The sequence below is a fragment of the Homo sapiens genome, chromosome 10 (assembly GCF_000001405.40).
Source record: "Homo sapiens chromosome 10, GRCh38.p14 Primary Assembly".
Taxonomy (NCBI): domain Eukaryota; kingdom Metazoa; phylum Chordata; class Mammalia; order Primates; family Hominidae; genus Homo; species Homo sapiens.
Window position 1 is genome coordinate 96342609 of NC_000010.11, and position 18127 is coordinate 96360735.

Consider the following 18127-nt stretch of genomic DNA (forward strand, 5'->3'; position numbering starts at 1 on the left):
CTCATCAAGATGGTGGGAGGGCAAAGGTTATATGACTTCACAATCTTTCAAAAATTAGTTATCACTTTTTGGTCTTCAATTAACATCGCAATGTTGCAGGGAAAAACGCCTTAAGCAAAACTAATAATTGTTATTTCTTGGCAAAATAAAGAAGAAGTGAGTATCTGTCTCCACCAGCAAAGTCAGGAACTGAGAAGAATCATAGAGGGTATAGAAGGCTGTGCTGATGGGAGTGAGGAACAGGCAGGCAGAAGGAGTGCTTTGCAGGGTTTGGGGAAAATCAAAGTAGAATGTTTGGACTGGATGGATGTAACTTTATAGATAAACCAATTCAAACACCAGATGATACAGGAGGAAATGAGACCCACACACATCGTGCAACCTGACTAAGGTCACTTAACTTACCAGCAGCCCTGGGTTAGGGAAGCAGAGCTTCTGACTTTGGGTCTCATCATTTTGCTTACCACACAGAGCTGCCCTCCATGAAAGACTGAATGTCTTCTAGCCTGGCAGAGAAAGTGCCAATATCGGGAATATCCCTGGGATAATCTTGGTTCCAGGGACAGAGCCAATGTTCTCTAATATAGGCAAAGAAAAGCCACAAACATTTTGTAGGTTCATAAGAATGGCCATTTTACTTTTCACTTCATTCCAACATAAGTTCTTGTGTATCATAGCAGAAGTAAATGACAGAAATGCTGAACCTTTCTAGTTTAATAGAAACAATGTTTAAATATTCTAAGCCGTGGATTATAAGTAGAATTAAAATAAGTGATCCAAAACACAAGTCATCCCTCACTTTATAGCTACATGGCTTAGTCACATGCATATTTCAATCCAGCCTTACAACCACCCCATGGGCTAAAAGGATGGAGGATGAGAACTGCTGTCTCCACTTTACAAGTACAGAACTGAGGCTCTGGATGATCAACAATCGGCCCAAGGGCTGACACCTATAAGTATCAAAGCCAAGGCCACGGCTGAGTTCTCAGTAAATCCAAGGTCCTTCATGACATGTAGGAGAAGTACAAGCACCAGGATGACTGGGAATGTCTGTTTAAAAATGGCTAAATCTGCTTGTTTAAGGTAATTAGATCCAGAGGACTTGGCACAAAACTGAGTTTCAAAAGGGGCTTTGAAGAGCAGGTATTGACATGTGGCAGAGATTGGGTTCATAGAACATGTTCTTGGTTATTCAGGGAAGAGGGGCATGTTTCTGAGTAATCAGAAGCCCTGTGTGAGAAAGGAATATTTTCTAGGATATCTGTGTGGCTCATGGAGCTGCTGGATGAACTTAAGATGCCCTGGACCCAGGCCTTCCCACTGGGAGGCCTGGCCTGCTAGAGGGCAATGGCTATACATGGGGGAACCAGGCTGCCTGGAAGCCTCCTCATGGGAGTGAAAGTGAAAGCCTGTCCCAAGCTGGCTGAATGGCAGGCACGTTGCTCCTTGGCCCATTCCTGTGGTCCTGTCTCCATCCCCTTGGGTCCTCTTGATTTTTCTTTCTGCCAAACAGCTTTCCCCTAGATATCCAAGGACTTGGTTCTTTTCTCCAAGTAGACTTGGTTCTACTCCACAGAGTAGATACAGCCCTCATTTCTAATAATCTTTTGGAAAAACTCTTGCCTTCCCCGCGGCCCCCCATCTTTACTTTCAACACACACACAGTCCGTCGCAGAACTGCCCTCCTTAAATACTCTCTGATTACAGACACAAGTAGGAGCAATGAATGATGTGTCTCCTAGGCCAGGTGTGTGGTAGGGTAGCTGACACATGTTAGAAGGAAGTCTGCCCAAAGACACAGAGGAAATGAAACTCATATTGAAGGCAAAAGAAGAGTACAGAAGAAAAAAAAAAAAGGCTGGGGATGGATTGGAAAATGGGAAGAGGAGTTACTGGGATAAGAGAAAGCTGGAGGGTGGCCTCTCCTGGAGTAATCCACCCAAAATAAGGCAACCTGGTTATAGTTTGCCCAATAGGCTCAATGGGCCAACACCACTTGAAGTAGCCTCTCCTTTTCCATTTGGCCTCCTTGGAGACAGTCCTCAGCAAGCTGAAGCGGCAATGCTATGCGTGGGCTTAAGGGCTCTTGTTTAATCTGAAGCCTTTAAAAAATAAAATAAAAGAAGTTGTAACTTTAACAACTATCCCTAAAGCACAAAAGTTAAAGTTATTTGAGGAACTGCCATCAGAGGTATCATAATGTCTTACTTTAAAAATTAAGCAAAATGTTTCATTGTAAAGACAAAGTGTTGTTTTAATATGAAACATGAATTTCCATCAACATTAACATCTTTAAGGTTAAATGTAACACCACCAGTCTCTGTATTTGGAATTCGGAACTTGTAAGAAACTGCCTTTTCCTGATTCATATGAGGACACGATCACACCTAGATTGGAAGATTCACATACTACCAGCAACACCTAGAATCATCTTTAGATAACAATTTGGATCATAGGCCATGGAGAAAGTTTGTCCTAAATGTTCCCTTGTGTGGCCCTGTGACTATGGGGAACAAATGCTGGTGATTAGCTGTTTTATCAGGCAAGCAATATGGGAAGAGGTAGGAAGAAGGTGGTAGAGAGAGAGAACTAACATTTTGACTGGCAACTAAGTAGCAGACACTTCCCTTTATTTCTTATTTAATCTTTTCAATTATGACATGAGGCAAATATTTCCCCTCCTTTAAAAAAGCAAAAACTGAGGCTTGAAAATGTTAAACAACTTCTCCAAAGTCGTACAGCTGCTCAGTGGTAGGTGTGACTTAAGAGTCCGTATTCTTTCCACTGCTGTGTGACATGATTGAGCCAGGTGCTTCCCTGTGGTCAGGGAATGTGTGGCTCCACATGGTTCCTACCCTGAGATATTCAGAAACAATTAACTGCTTCCTCTCACACATCCTGCATAAGTTTCATTTGTATCCCAACTTGCACCAGGCTGACCTCAGCAACACTTCCATGAAAGTCAGATCTGATGGCTTTTTTGAGAAAAAGGATATGAAAAAAAAAGATGAGAAGGCAAGACACTCAGAAACCAAGCCCCTTTCCCAAAATGACAAAGAAAAGCAAATTCCCACTGGGAGCAGGAATAGGATCTAAGGACCCCATCTGGTGAGTCACATGTACTAACTAAAGCACAAGATCTGAGAGTTGGAATTAACCATGTTGGGGATGTCCCCTAAAGAGACAAATCAGCCCCAAAGTGTTCCAGAGCTGTAAATGAAATTTGGATTGATTAAGAAGCAGCTTGGCATCTTTCCTCTCCAAGTACAAAACCCTGGGTTTTCAACCCTGTTCCAGTGCCAGGTCTGCTGCTCCTTGACTGAGCTGCATCATTCCAGGCTCAGTCTGGGCACAAGCCACCACAATCCCCTCCTTCTTTCCATTTCTATAGTAGGACGGTAACGGTCATGCACAGGTTCCTCGCTTCCTGCTACAGTCTTCACATATATGTGGGCCTCTTGTGCTCCCATCGTATTCTTCTCATGTGTGGGTGATCTCCTAGGATTCTTAAGGAAACAAATAGGTTTTTTAAAAACTACAGCAGAGAATTCTTTCATACAAGATGGACTAACAGCAACCACATTGACCCTCCCACCTGAAATAACCAAAATCAGACACAACATTTGAAGCAATAGTTTTCAAGACACTAGACAACAGGCAAGGAGGGACAATGGTCCTGGAGAGACAGAAAACAAATGAGGAGAGACCCACAATTACCTGATCTTACTGCTTTGGGAGAGCTTTCAGGCCACTCAACTATCTTTTGTTTATTGTTAACAAAGTTTCTCATTTTTTGTCTTTTAACTGTTAATCTATTTGTGTATTTATATTTAAAGTGAGTTTTGTAGGCATCATATGATTGGACCTTGTTTTTATAGCCAATGTGAAATCTCTTCCTGTTAATTCGGGTATCTAGACCATTTACATTTAATGTGATCATTGATATGGTTGGGTTTAAATCTACCATCTTGCTATTTGTTTTCTGTTTGTTCTACCTGTTTGTTGTGTCTTTTTAACTCTTTTTCTACTTTATTTCATATAGATTTTAGAAGAACCTCATTAAGTTCCATGAAAAAAATTGATTGGGATTTATATTGAAATTACATCTGTTATATAGATCAACATTGTTTGACATCGTTATGTTATTAACACTTTCTATCCAGGAGCATAGTATGCAACCCCCATTATTTAGGTATTATTTAATGGGTTTTTTAACCAAAGTTTTATTATTTTCCATAAAGGTATTACATATTTTTGTTAGATTTATTCCATAGCATTCTACATATTTTAATACCAATTACCATCACAAATGGTAATTTTTAAAATCACTTTTTCTAATTGTTGTTGATGTTGAAAGTATAAATTACTTTTATATATTGATTTTTGTATCCAGTAAACTTGTTAAAATTTCTTGTTAATTCAAGTAATTTTTCTGTAGATTTAGCTTTTCTTTTCTTTCTTTCTTTCTTCCTTTCTTTCTTTTTTTTTTCTTTTTTTAAGATGAAGTCTCACTCTTGTCCCCCAGGCTGGAGTGTGATGGTGTGATCTCAGCTCACTGCAACCTCTGCCTCCCAGGTTCAAGTGATTCTCCTGCTTCAGCCCCCCACGAAGTAGCTGGGATTACAGGCACCTGCCACCACACCTGGCTAACTTTTGTGTTTTTAGTAGAGATGGGGTTCACCATGTTGGCCAGGCTGGTCTAGAACTCCTGACCTCAGGTGATCCACCTGCCTTGGCCTCCCAAAGTGCTGAGATTACAGGCGTGAGCCACCGCACCCAGCCAGATTTAGCTTTTCTATGTCGACAATCATACCATCTGCAAATAATGACAATTTTGTTTCTTCCTTTTCAGTGTTACACTTTCTAATTTTTTTTTTTGAGATGGAGTCTTGCTCTTGTCACCCGGCTGGAGTGCAGTGGTGCGATCTCAGCTCACTGCAACCTCCACCTACCAGGTTCAAGCGATTCTCTTCCCTCAGCCTCCCGAGTAGCTGGGATTACAGACGACCGCCACCACACCCAGCTAATTTTTTGTATTTTTAGTAGACACAGGGTTTCACCATGTTGGCCAGGCTGGTCTCAAACTCCTGACCTCAGATGATTCACCCGCCTCAGCCTCCCAAAATGCTGGGATTACAGGCGTGAGCCACTGCACCGGACCTATACTTTCTAATTTTTAAAAATCCTACTTCATTGACTAGGATCTAAAGTATAATATTGAATAGAAGTGGTGTTAGTGAAGATCCTTGTTTTATTTCTGATCTAAAGAGAATGCTTTCAACATTTTACTGTTAGGTATGATGTTAGCTGTAATTTTTTGAAAAAGACATCTTTCAAGTCAAGGAAGTTCCCATTCTATTTTTAATTTGCTGAGAGTTCATATCACTGTTAAGTTTTTTTGAACTTTCTTCCCCTATTGAGATGGTCACATGAGTTTTCCATTTTAGTTTGTCAGTAAAATAAATTATATTAAATTGATTGTCTAATATTAAAGGGAGCTTGAATTTCTGTTCAGCCAATAAAAATGCACTGAGAACCTCCTTTGTGCTTGAGCTTCCTCTTGGTCATCTCTTTTCTACATGTGCTCATACTGTGCTTCTTTTGGTGAAAGGCTTTCAAACACTTAGCTTGTTTACTGTGTGAATGGTATATAGAGAGTATAACCAAGAGTTCTTACCTCAGATATCTTGGGATTGTCATCAATTTCTGAAATTTCACATGGTCTGTCACTTTCCTAAATTGGAAAAAATATAATAATAAAAGAAAGAAAGAAGAAGAAGTGAAGGGTTATAGCATTTGACCGTAACTATGATTAAAATCAGTGCTTTTTAAATCTGAGTGTACATTAAAACAAACAAAACAAGCACAGAGGCATCTAATAACATCACCCCTCAAACCAAACCAAACCCATACCTAAGCCAAGAAATATCATTGTGAGTTATCAAAAATAATCCAGGGTGAGAGTAGAGATGAAACAATATTGGCCATGGGTTAATAATTGGGTTCATTATACTATCCTCTCTACTTTAGTATATGTTTGAAATTATAATTAAAAAATTGTTTTTGTTTTTTCAAGATCAGTGCCACAGCTTTGTCATCCAGAAATTCTGATTTAATTGGCTTTGGTGATTGGAAATTTTGAGCTTCCTAAATAATTTTAAAGTGCACTGGAGGTTGAGAAACTATTACTTAAACAATACCACCACTAACCACAATACTTCTTGATGTGTTTAAAATTTACAGCTTGTCAACACATCTTTACATGTAAAAATGTTCATCATCCATTATCTCATTTCATCCTTATAACTTTCCCTACCTCTTAAAATAGGGAGGGTAGTTTCTATGACTCCTATTTTGGAGTTGAACTAACCAAGACATATTAAATGTTAAGTCACTTGTCCAGGATCATATAAATCATAAAGTGGCAGAGTCAGGTTTAGAACCTCAATTTTCAATCTCTTAATTAATGTTTACCCATATGATAACAACCTTGAATGTCAATAAATAGAGAATAGAATTAGAACCCAGAGTCCACATGACACAGTTGTGTCACAACCATGGAACCTTGTTGGATATGAGTCTAGGTGGCTTTTGATTTCTAAGCATAGTCCCCAGAACAGTCTGGCATTGGAGGGGTGGATTGGATGGGGAGGATATAGATTCCCTTGTGATTCTATCATGGTGTCTATCATGGACACCTCAGCCCCTCTTCATCTCCTATCTTTCTTAACGTTATCTCCATCCTTTCTTTGTGAAGCTTGTGCGCTTTTGTTTCTCAACTTTAGAAAGCACACCCACTGTACAGACATGTGTTTGCCATGGCAACAGACATCCTTCTCCACTGCTACTTTTTGTTACCCCAAATACCATCTTTGTCAGGAATTCCTCAACTGACCTGAAGGTTTTATGACAAATCAGCTCTGTCTGGTGCCTAATGTCATGTCTGCAGTGGAAATTATGGCCCAGAAACTTCCAGCATCTTGTCCTCAGGAAATAGACATGGGCCCTGAATTCTGACACCCTTAGTCCAAAAGCCAGTTCACTGAAATACTGGTGGCTGCCTATACATCTGGACCCAAAGAAGCTAGTAATCACCTCCATGGCCTCAATGCTGCTTCTTCTTCGGTGAATCAAAGTAAATAGTAAAGCCACCAGCAGGGCTGTGGCCACCAGCAATGGTATGCCCGCCGCTAATCCAAGAGAGGGCCCACAGTCCTGGCACAGAATGAAAAACACAGGGTCAGAGGAAGCCCAGAGTCTTCAATAATAAAGGAAAAATTCAATAGAATAAAAATAAAACAAAAAATCTGCATGGATCATAAACGTCATATACAAAATCAAAAGGGTAATGAAATACTGTGCAAAAATGTTTGTAACACACATGACAAATGACTTACTTTCATAGGACTTAATTTACACAGTTTAAATCTGTTGGAAAGAGTAATGATCAAGTAGAAAAATGGGCAAAGGATATGAACAGGTATTCTTTAGAACAGAAATACAAATGTCTCTTCAATGTAGGAAAAGCTGAGATACAATTCAGAGCAACAATTAGATGTCATTTTCACCTGTTTGGCTAAAAATAAAAGCTTTTATTATACACCACACTTTTTTTTTTGTTTGAGATGGAGTCTTGCTCTGTTGCCCAGGCTGGAGTGCAATGGCACAGTCTTGGCTCACTGCAACCTCCGCCTCCTGGATTCAAACGATTCTTCTGCCTCAGCCTCCTGAGTAGCTGGGACTACAGGTGCATGCCACCACACCCAGCTAATTTTTGTATTTTTAGTAGAGATGGGGTTTCACTATGTTGGCCAGGCTGGTCTCTAACTCCTGACCTCATGATCTGCCTGCCTTGGCCTCCCAAAGTGCTGGGATTACAGGTTTGAGCCACCATGCCCAGCCATACCACACTATTTTAATATGAATTAAAAAAATTTATTTGCACTTAATGTAAATGACGAGTTAATGGGTGCAGCACACCAACGTGGCACATGTATACATATGTAACAAACCTGCACGTTGTGCACATGTACCCTAGAACTTAAAGTATAATAAAAATAAATAAATAAAAAAGTGACATTTAGCCTTTCAAAAAAAATTTATTTGCAATAAATGCATTAACCTATTAATTTTCAAATTCCCATTTTGCTTTGATCGGAGTGGAAATAGTCATGCTTTTAGTTACATAAGTTTTCAGATTTGCAGACTATCTGGAAATATTGAAGATAATCTGCAGAAACCCTATAAAAGTGCAACTGTTATTTAATAATGGATTCACCTTCACTTCACTTTAGGGGGAAATTGATTTTATTGAAGAATAATAAAGTATATGAATCACAAATATATAAGTGGATGACTTTTCACATGAGGAATACACCCATAAGACCAACACCCAGATCAAGAAACAGAACATTAGCAGTATCTCAGGATCCCCCTCAAATCTCTTCCAGCCTCCTTGTGCGTGACCACTATTCTGAAATCTATTGCCATAGAGTAGTTTTGTCTGTTTTTCAGCATAATATAGATGCAAATATAAGATATGCACTCTTTGTGTCTGGCTTCTTTTGCTCAACCCTTTGTGAAATCCATCTGTGATTTTGCATGTTCTCCCTCACTTTTGAGCGGAGCTGGTCAAGAATAATTCTTGAGCCAGATTCTGTGCTTAGTGACAGTTCACCTATCAAACTTTAAAGCTCAAAACAAATGCTCAAGATGGATGGAGCATTATTATTATCCCCATTTTATAAATTTAAGTGATATAGTTACCGTTTCTTTCCCACCTGTGACAGGAGAGGACGTCTGTATGGAAAAAGAACATATATTGTAAAAGAACAAAAAGTCTATAGAATATACATTATACAAGACAATCTGCCAAAGTTTAGGCTATAAAGCCTAAAGTTTATCCCTTTGCTAAACTTTCTGTTAACAACTACCAAACAGAACCTAACTTGATTGCTTCCCAGGTAAGAATTGGAATAAAATTTGGCTACAAGGAGAAAAGAATTAGGAAATTCAGGCAATGTCTTCATTATTCACCCTGTGGATGTACCGTGACACATTTTACAACTCAAAAGGGCTTCCTCCTGTCCCTAGTCAGCACACCTGGCACACTTTGGGCCTACTTGTCCCCATTGCTAGAAGGGAAACACATATAAATACTGGTGGAAGCAAGGCTCTTTAAGGAAGCCTTGCTTGTTTTCAAGTATGTGATGAAACAAATGGCAGAAGTTGTCAAATATCCATGCTCCTGGGGATAATTCTACATGAAATGAATGCATTACATGTTTCTGGTCCACTGAGTTATTGGTCCAATGAGTTATTGGATTTCACTCATTTATAAGATATTTCAGGCAAGAGTTTACCTTGATTAGGAAATCTAAAGGAATAAAGTTCTGCATGAGAAACTATGTAAACTACACTAAGTGGTATGCTGTGGGATTAAGAGCACAGGTCCTGGGCTCACACTGCCTGCCATAGAACAGCCATTTCTCAATTTACAAGCTAAGGGGTTGCATGTCTCTATCTACACAATATCTACAGGGATAGTAGTAGCTGCCTCTAGGGTTATTAGGAGGATTGAATGAGGAGCAGAACTATGAACTCTTGTCAGCCCTTTACACTTTGCAAAGCTCTGTCCAGATCTGTTATTTATTTAATACTCTCAGCAATCTCATCAAGTATACTGGAGTCCTGGGGCTTGGACTTTTGACAATTATTAACTCCATTTTACAAAAAAAAAATGTAATAGATCTCAGAGAAGTTATGGGGCTTGTCCAAGGTTTCACAGATAATCATAACTCTAATCTGAACTTGGATGTTTGACTTCCAAGCCCAGACCTCTTTCCCAGAGAGCTCCCATCAAAAGAAGGTTTTGATGACCAGGCACTGAAACTTGGTACTTAAATGGTTGTCCTTTGACCTAATCACAATCTCCCCAACCCCTACCCCCACACTACTTTAATCCTGCATTTCCCTAAGGTGCTCTAAGGGTAGTAGGAAGAATCAGCCATTGTTTCAGGTAAGGCTTCCTGTCTTCAGAGTACAGAAATACACTTAGGGTGGCTTTCACTAAAAAAAAAAAAAAAAAAAGGAAGGTGTTAACTCTAAGAATATGGGAGTGTCCCATGGAGCCCAAGGACAGGTGGGAAGCTGGTTTCTCCAGGGAGTGGACCTTGGAACGGGGAACTTGTGTGAACCGAAGGCACCCTCCTTTCTCCTTCGCTCCAGAGCAGCACGGCCTTCTGCCTGTACTGTTCTCTGATGTTTGCTTCTCTCTTTCTCTCCAGATGGACTTTTCTGCCCTCATAAACTCCTGCTAATTGTACCAGCTAATGCCATGGAGCACTTAGGATGTGCCAGGCTGTTCAAGAATTTTTCCCATATTGACTTATTTATTCTATACAACTGCCAGTGAATAGTAATGGGACTATGATGATCTCATTTTACAGATGAGAGGAGCAAGGCACAGAGAAGTGAAGTAACTTGTGTAAGGTCACACAGCCCTAGGTGACACCCCCCCGGGCAGTCTGGCTCTGGGATCCATGCTCTTAACCACTGTGCTACATGGCCTCCATGGCCTAATGCAGTGTCTTAGTCCCATTTTTCATACTTGACAGTTCAGTATGGACTGAACTGACAAATAGACTGAACCTGGCATTTCAGTCCTCAGCAGGGACTGGCCAGCAGGGAGCCCTGTTCCAAACTTCCCGCAGAGAGGGATCCAGGTGCCCACCTCTGTCCCACTTCCCAGGGCACTGGCATTCCCAGGCTACCCAGCTGCACTGAAGTGGAAGGGTTATGCAGTAGAAATGTGACTTCCAGGCAGGATGACCTACCATCCGCATTGTCCAGAGAGCTGCCCAGGACTTTCAGTGCTAAAAACAGACAACACCAGGCAAAGCAAAATGGTTGGTTGCTCTACACGGGATCAAAGGGGTGAAGAGACAGTTCTCAGAGAAATGAGCTGTTAACCAAGAGAGTACTCCAAAGGGTGATGACTGGCCACATAAGGGCTCTCTTCCACCCCATTCACCCCCACTCCCCAAGAAATGGCTTCTTGCTTCTCTGCATTCTCTTGATGTGATGGGCCAAGATAACACAGAACCTGGAGTGTCTATGGACCTGCTGGGTTCCAACAGCCAGGGGAAAGTTCCAGCAGTGATTGAAGGAAAAGGTTTTGACAGGAAAAAGAGGAAGAATTAGGGAATTTGCCTGAAACCAACAGGCAGAAGCTGAAGCAGGGAAGCAGAGCAAGTTGGGGAGGTTCAGAAGTGCCCCCCACCAGAGGCTGGAGCAGGTGCCAATGTATTCAGTTCACAGAGGTCTGGGCAGACAGTGGTGGGCACCACAGGTCCAGCAATAAGTCACAATGTTCTAACTTTATGCTACTCTCTAGAACTATGCCCCCATGTTTCAGTAAAATGAGCACTGGCTTAGGAGTCCTCTTACGAGTAAGATTCAGTTTATTCTCTTTGAATAACCAGACAACTTATCAGAAAAATGTGGCACAGCCAAGCCCACTAAAAAACTGGGCCAGAAAAATGCCTTGCTCAACCATAGTAGTGCTACTGATCAGATAACAACCTTGGCTCTTAGTGTTATCTATATGCAATGTGCAAACAGAAGACGGAGGATCAGCTGTGGATTGAAACTCTAACATCGACAATTGAAAACCTCAATTTTGACTTGCAACTAAATGCCATAATCAAGAGCCATAAAATGTTCATTCTTGTTGACCCAATCATTCCCATTTTAGAATACATACAAGGAAATTATCTTAAATGCAGATAAGGATTCTCTAAAATGCCATGTATCACAAAGTTATTCCTAATGATAGTTAATCAACTGAAGAAATAATTAACTTGAAAAAATATTATGCGATCATAATATGATCACATGATTATGTGATTAACCATATAACAGTTATGGTTATAAAGACTAGTGGAAAACATTTAGATATAAAATTATATGTAGAGTAAGAAAACAATAGTACAAAGGCAACAAAAGTCAAAATTTATGTAACGCCAAACAGGACAGGAAGGGTTACACCAGTTTTCTGCTGATGAGAGTTTAGGTGTTTTATTGTTGTTGTTGTTTTCCTATTTTCCTTTTCAAAATGTGTATTTATAAGTTTTATAATGGAAATAAATTCTCTCAGCATCTCTCAACTATTCCTCAGTGCGTTTTGAAAGTTTATGTAAATGGCCGGGCACGGTGGCTCACACCTATAATCCCAGCACTTTGGGAGGCTGAGGTGGGCGGATCACCTGAGGTCAGGAGTTTGAGACCAGCCTGGCCAACATGGCAAAACCCTGTCTCTACTAAAAAGTGCAAAAATTAGCCGGATATGGTGGTGCACACCTGTAATCCCAGCTACTCAGGAGGCTGAGGCAGGAGAATCGCTTGAACCCAGGAGGTGGAAGTTGCAGTGAGTCGAGATCATGCCACTGCACTCCAGCCTGGGTGACAGAGCAAGACCTTGTCTCAAAAAAAAAAAAAAAAAAAAAAAAAAAAAAAAAAAAAAAAGAAAGTCTGTGTAACTTATCACCGTGTGTGAGGGGTTTATGTGAGTTCTGGAGACCTACTGTAAATTCTGCACTGGTCTTCTCTGCGTTGCCTGGTGAATGGGGGCTGCTGTACTTACTGTGTTCGCCGGCAGGGTGAAGTTCAGTGAAAAACTCTGCAAGATAGAAGTAAACATTAAAGCTCCCAGGGATGGTCAGCAAGCTCCTTCCTCACTTCCTCAAACTCACTGACCCTGGTGGATTCCGAGAGGTCATTGATCCTATAGACTCAGCCAGCCCCCATCGTCCTGCACAGTCTTGGCCCCAAAAGAAGGAAGGGGAGGCAAGGAGCCTGTCATGAGTTCCTCCCTCAGCATCAAGTCAGTCTTGCCACCGCCCCCAACCAGGTCCTCGACCAGGATCAGATGAAGAGGCAGCCTGCAAGGCTATTGTCTGAGGGGTCCCATTCACAAGGGCAGCAAACACATGACTAGAAATTCAGCAAAAGGCTAAAATTATGTTTATTCCCTCTAGAACTCCTTTGAGACAGAAAACTGTTGAATTTAGAAGTATTTTGTGTTTTCTCCTTGGAGTAGAAGGTAAGACCCCCAAAGGGCATGGTCTAACAAGAACACCTGATCCTTACCCGGGGAAGGCAAGGCTTCTGTTTTTGCTACAACTGAGGCAGAGGTTCTAGGTTGCTGGAGCTGAAGTGGCCAGGAGGACAGGGGAACAGCAAACCCTTCTCTTTCCTCCCCTCACTTAGTAGATGGTCTCACCTCTCCCGCAAATATGGAGTCCAAATTTAAAGATCGTGGGCTCAGTGGAGCACCAAGTAGCCTGCCCAGGGCCTCAGGTGGCTCCTTTCTCCTCCCTGTCCCTAGCCCCTGTTACTCTAGCCTTTCCAGGCTGCTCCTTACCAAGTCCTTTCCCTACCTAGATTGGAATGATGGGTGGACCTGTTCTGACTCAGCCAGTGAAACTATTTTCCCCTCTTTCCCTGGGTGGAAGTGGTCTTGTTCCCACTTTCTGGACTCTCAGCCCCTTGGGTCCAGCCACCCTGGATTAATACCTCCTGGCTGGGCCCTCCTTCAGCCTCGGTCTCCCTGACCCCCAGATATTTCCCTGGGCTTGGTCTACACCACAGCTTCCCGTCTTTCCAGCATCCCAAGACCAGATTCTGTCATTGTAGAAACAATGCATTCATTAAGTTTTAAAATTAAATGTTATCCAACAATAGGAAAGTTGTGAAACATTAAAGAATCCAAAAGAATCATGTTTCACACCTGAATTACCTGAAAGATCATCTCTCTCAAAACCCTCATTTTCCAGCAGAGGAAACTGAAACCCAGGGACTTATCAGAAATCACCTCATGGACAAATGAGAACAGTTGGAGCCACATAGACCAGCCAATGGGCCGCAGTCTATGTGACTCAACCCCAACCCGAAAGATGGTAACAGAGGATCTCATCCCAACAGAAGCAAACTGACAAAACACCTATTTCAGCTGACTTACTGATGGATTGGAATTCAGATGGGTTAATGAACAAGAAAATCTTTTGTGAACCAGAAGTGTTTTAAGCACCTAGAATGTGTAAGTCCCCCTAGCTTTTGCCCCAAATATTATGTCCTTCAATCAACGTGGCCCTGCTCAACTAGCACGCTTCAGTGGTGCCTCTGCTCACTTCTCCCCCTCTTGGCAATAGGACACCCGCATTTTATAGAGAATAACCAAGCCTCAAGAATTTGAACAGGTTTCCCAAGTCCAAACAACTACTTAGCTGTCACCAGAACCTGAGTGTCCCGGTGACAACCTCTTTCCACCACTCTGCAAGGCTTCCAAGCAACTCCAGTAGTCTCTGTGGATGAATCAGAGCACCCAGGCTGACAGCACTGTGCACCTCTGCTTCTGGGATGACGGTGGAACACAGGGACGTCTGGGCCTCTTAGGTCAGGGTCCTCTTGCTCAAGGGACCTAACCACTGCTCTTCACGCTAGCACCAGACCAACACGTGCTGCAAGGACACTGGATGGTCGCTGCACTGAATGCAGCTGCCCAGAGCTTTATCTCATCAGTGGGCACTGAGGACTGATGTCAGCAGCCCTAAGACAAAGCTTCCTTTGGGAGGACAGTAGAAGAGGGGGTGCAGCAACAAGTGGGCCATTGCATGTGTTGTTTATCAACATTCGGATGACGGAGATTTTGGCCAATTTCAGAAAGACACTCATATTTTGTAGAAACACAGTACAGTGCTCTCATGGAGAGAAAAACATCGCACAAATTAGGGTGGAGAAGAATCTGATGCAGTGCCCTTCAGAGACACAGCTGAGTGGGATGATGCAACCCTGAGCTTGGAGCCACCTGATCTAAATTCGAGCCCACACTTAGCCACTTAGGAGCTGTGTAGTCTTGGATAAGTCACTCAAACCCTCTGGTCTCCATTTTCTCACAACAAATCTATTCTCCAAGGCTCAGTTTTCCCATTCTCAAAATGGGATACTATTAACTTGCCTTGCCCACTTCACAAGGGAATACCGTAATGTCATCTGTGGCAGCTCCTTTCTCCCAAACTGTAAAACACCCTCTGTGTTTTAGGGATCACGTGGTAGCATATTCTTTATGGCCTGGCCAGCACAGAGCTAAGGATAGGAAAGTTCTTGTGGAATGGAATTGCAAGCATGAGTTAGTGATAGTCAAAGTACTAGAATTGGATACAATGCAATTATTGCTTACTGCTAGTCTGAGCACTATGCAGTATCTACACAATGATTCTGAAGGCATTTTGGGATCTCAGTGGCTGAACGTCCTTCATTATAAGTTTGCAGTTTGTGAGAGGAAGGAGGAAGAGACAGGATAAAAACTTACTGCTGTTGAAGGTGTGCTGGGTATAAGACCCCATACTCACAACCTCCCCATGAAGGGAGCACTATTATTCCTATATTATACCTGTGGAAACTGAGACCAAGATAGGTTTTTGCTCACCAGCTTTTAAGTGGTAGAGATCAGGTTAGATCACAGATCTCCCTAACTCCACAGACTGAGCTCTACTCCTTTTAACAATGCTTTTTGTAAAAAAAAAAAAAAAAAAAAAAAAAAAAAATTCCACAAGAAAGTGAGATTACACAATATTCTTCTTTTTGTGTCTGGCTTATTTCACTTAGCATAATGTTCTCCAGGTCCAAATAGGACAAACATGGCAAATGGCAGGGTCTCCTCCTATTCTAAAGCTAATATTCAGTTGTATATATACATATAAACCACAGTCCCTTTATCCATTCATCCACTGATGGACACCTAGGCTGTTTCCATAATTCTTTAGTAAATCACAGAACCCTCTTGTTTTCTCTTCTAACTTAGCAAACTTCATTTGATTGAGTCACAACAAAATATTTATCACAAGTAAACAAGAAAGATGGAAAATTTCTGATCAATGATGACCATCCATGTTGCTGATGATGGAACAAAAAGCCAGATTAAACAAGTAAGACAGATAAAATCGTTGATTAGATCCATTGCTTCAACTAGAAAGGGAACATAGGTGAAACATCTACTCTGTACTCTTGTATGTGGGGTTTTAAAAACAAACCTTAATACCAAAATGAAAGACAAGATCAGCAAATATTAGGTGAGAAGTTTAAAAAATTATTGGTATTTTGCATATAGGAAAATAATTTAAAATAAAGTCCCTTTACTTCATTGTACATTTAATTGAATTTGGAGGTTTTTTATAGTAAGAAATGAAAGTTCGATTGAGAAGAGATGCCAGCTTTCACTCACCATTTCTGACAGTCTCCCAGGAACCTTCTTCGTACACTGCCTTTGGTAAGCTCCTTTCTCACTGGCTTTATTGGCTTGTGTCTTTCATTTGTAGGAACAGTTAACTGACAAAGCTGCAGAGGCAGGCTGAGAGGTGGCTCCAAGAGAACCCTGGCCAAGCCATTTATGGTCAGGGGAGTAGCCAAGCCCTCAGTCCATCCCTCGGGAAAGATGGGCTGCTGCTGCATGGCCGACGTGTATGGCCTGGTTCACCCACCCTCTTTGCCTTGATTTTCTGTCCTTACTTTTCAGGCTGCTTTCTTGGCTATACCTCCATCTCAGCAAAGAAGCCACAGCTGGCCTGAGAGCTTGGGGGCTTCTGCAGCCTGCAGCCCTTTGGAAACAATGGGTTACATGAGGCTGAGGCTGGCCACTCCATCCCCAGCTGACGGGAGTCCACATTAACCATGTTACTGATAATGATGGAGTCATTGTGTTACATGGACAACAGCATGGACATTCGGGATGTCTGGAGGAGGGGTGGGGGCCCATTCTGTTGCAGGAGTCACACTGCTGGGGGCTCCAGCTGCTGCAAGGTGCTGCACTCAGTGGCCAATGAGCTGCCTGGTGTGAGTTCAGCCTCACCCCCTCTCTGTTTTTGTATTTTGGGTGGGAAGCTCTCTAGACCTGGAGGAAGCCATGGACTTGGGCTGCTTTATAACTTACAATTTCCCTGTTAGGGATTTGCCTCTTTAAAATGGTGAATGAGTTGCTAATAAAACAACAGAATTAAACCAATAATTTGGCCATTGAAATGAAAACCACTGTGAGAGGAGCAGATAGGAGTGTAAGGAGAGAGCGACTCAAGTGACAGAGGAGGCCGTTGTTTAGATGACTCTGGGAGATGGCACTGAAGCTGTGCGTGAAAGATGAGAAGAGGGCAGACATGTGAAGGGTTGAGGGAGGAGAGTCCCAGGCAGAAGCCACAGCAAATGCTAAGCCCTGTAAGCTTGGTGCACTCCCAGAGCAGGCAGGAGGCCGGTTGGCTGGAACAACATAAACCAGGGAGTCACCCGGGAAGGGGCTAAGGACGGAGTGAGTTTGAGCCCTTTTGATGTGACATGGGAGGGCATGGTAAGATTTTCATCCTTAGATGAAACCTTTTCCAAGGGTTTTTCAGTGGGAGAGATGCATGATGTAATTGCTGGTGACGAGGATTGCTAGGGCTTCTCTGTGGAGCCAAGATTACAGGGGAAGAGAGTGGAAGCAGGTGGCTGGCTAGTGGAGTCCAGGTGAGCGATGAAGGTGGCTGCTGTAGGAAGACAGCAGTGAATGATTGTGCTCTCTACTGTGGAGGTGGAGCCACTGGGATTAAATGATGAAAAAAATATGGGGCGGGGAAGGGCGAGGTGAGGGAAAGAGAAGAATAAAGCCAACTCCTGGGTTTGAGGCTTGACTAACAAAAATGGAGATGCTATTAGCTTAGGCAGGTAATACTGGAGAAACAGATTGCCCTTACACCTGAGTAGCCTAGGGGCTGTCCAAGTGTGGGTGCCAAGTAGGCGACTGGATAAAGGGGATCTGGGGCTGAAGACATCCGTTTGGGAGTGGCCGGCCTGTGGATGGTTTTAAAGCCCCCGGTGTGCATGAGCAGGTAGACAGGGCAGAGGGCCAGGACAGCTGCCAGGGGTTCACAGACATTTAGCAGCCTGGAAGAGGGGGTGTCACTAGCAAGGAGAGTTGAGTGAGGCAGGAAAATCAGATAAGTTCGGGGGTCACAGGAAAGAAATTTGATTCAAGAAGGGGAGTAGATGTTGGTTAATTGTATCAACTGCTGCTGAGAGGTAGCCTCCGAAGAGGTCA

General features: G+C 42.4%; 1 protein-coding gene across 12 annotated transcripts, besides 1 other annotated feature; it reads right to left on the reverse strand.

The window, feature by feature from the left end:
• Window positions 1–612: 612 nt before the first annotated feature.
• Window positions 613–16394, reverse strand: OPALIN (oligodendrocytic myelin paranodal and inner loop protein). 12 transcript variants are annotated; one of them, NM_001040103.3, is made up of 7 exons: window positions 16286–16394; window positions 12647–12682; window positions 10839–10877; window positions 8770–8802; window positions 7099–7218; window positions 5681–5737; window positions 613–3509 (listed from the first exon to the last, which is right to left on the reverse strand). In NM_001040103.3, the coding sequence occupies exons 3-7, from the start codon at window positions 10845–10847 to the stop codon at window positions 3333–3335; spliced, it is 396 nt and encodes a 131-aa protein (NP_001035192.1). In that variant the 5' UTR covers window positions 10848–10877; window positions 12647–12682; window positions 16286–16394; the 3' UTR covers window positions 613–3332. The 12 variants fall into 12 exon arrangements, 10 of the variants coding, with proteins under 10 accessions (NP_001035192.1, NP_001271251.1, NP_001271253.1 ...); NM_001284322.2 differs by having other exon boundaries at window positions 10839–10920; NM_001284324.2 differs by lacking the exon at window positions 16286–16394 and adding an exon at window positions 14409–14551.
• Window positions 2264–3030: an enhancer, noted in NCBI's record as "OCT4-NANOG-H3K27ac hESC enhancer chr10:98104629-98105395 (GRCh37/hg19 assembly coordinates)". NCBI's record gives its function as "activates a minimal SCP1, AML or CMV promoter by ChIP-STARR-seq in naive H9 embryonic stem cells {active_cell/tissue: H9 hESC(naive)}" and the evidence as "EXISTENCE:reporter gene assay evidence [ECO:0000049][PMID:30033119]".
• Window positions 16395–18127: the final 1733 nt, after the last annotated feature.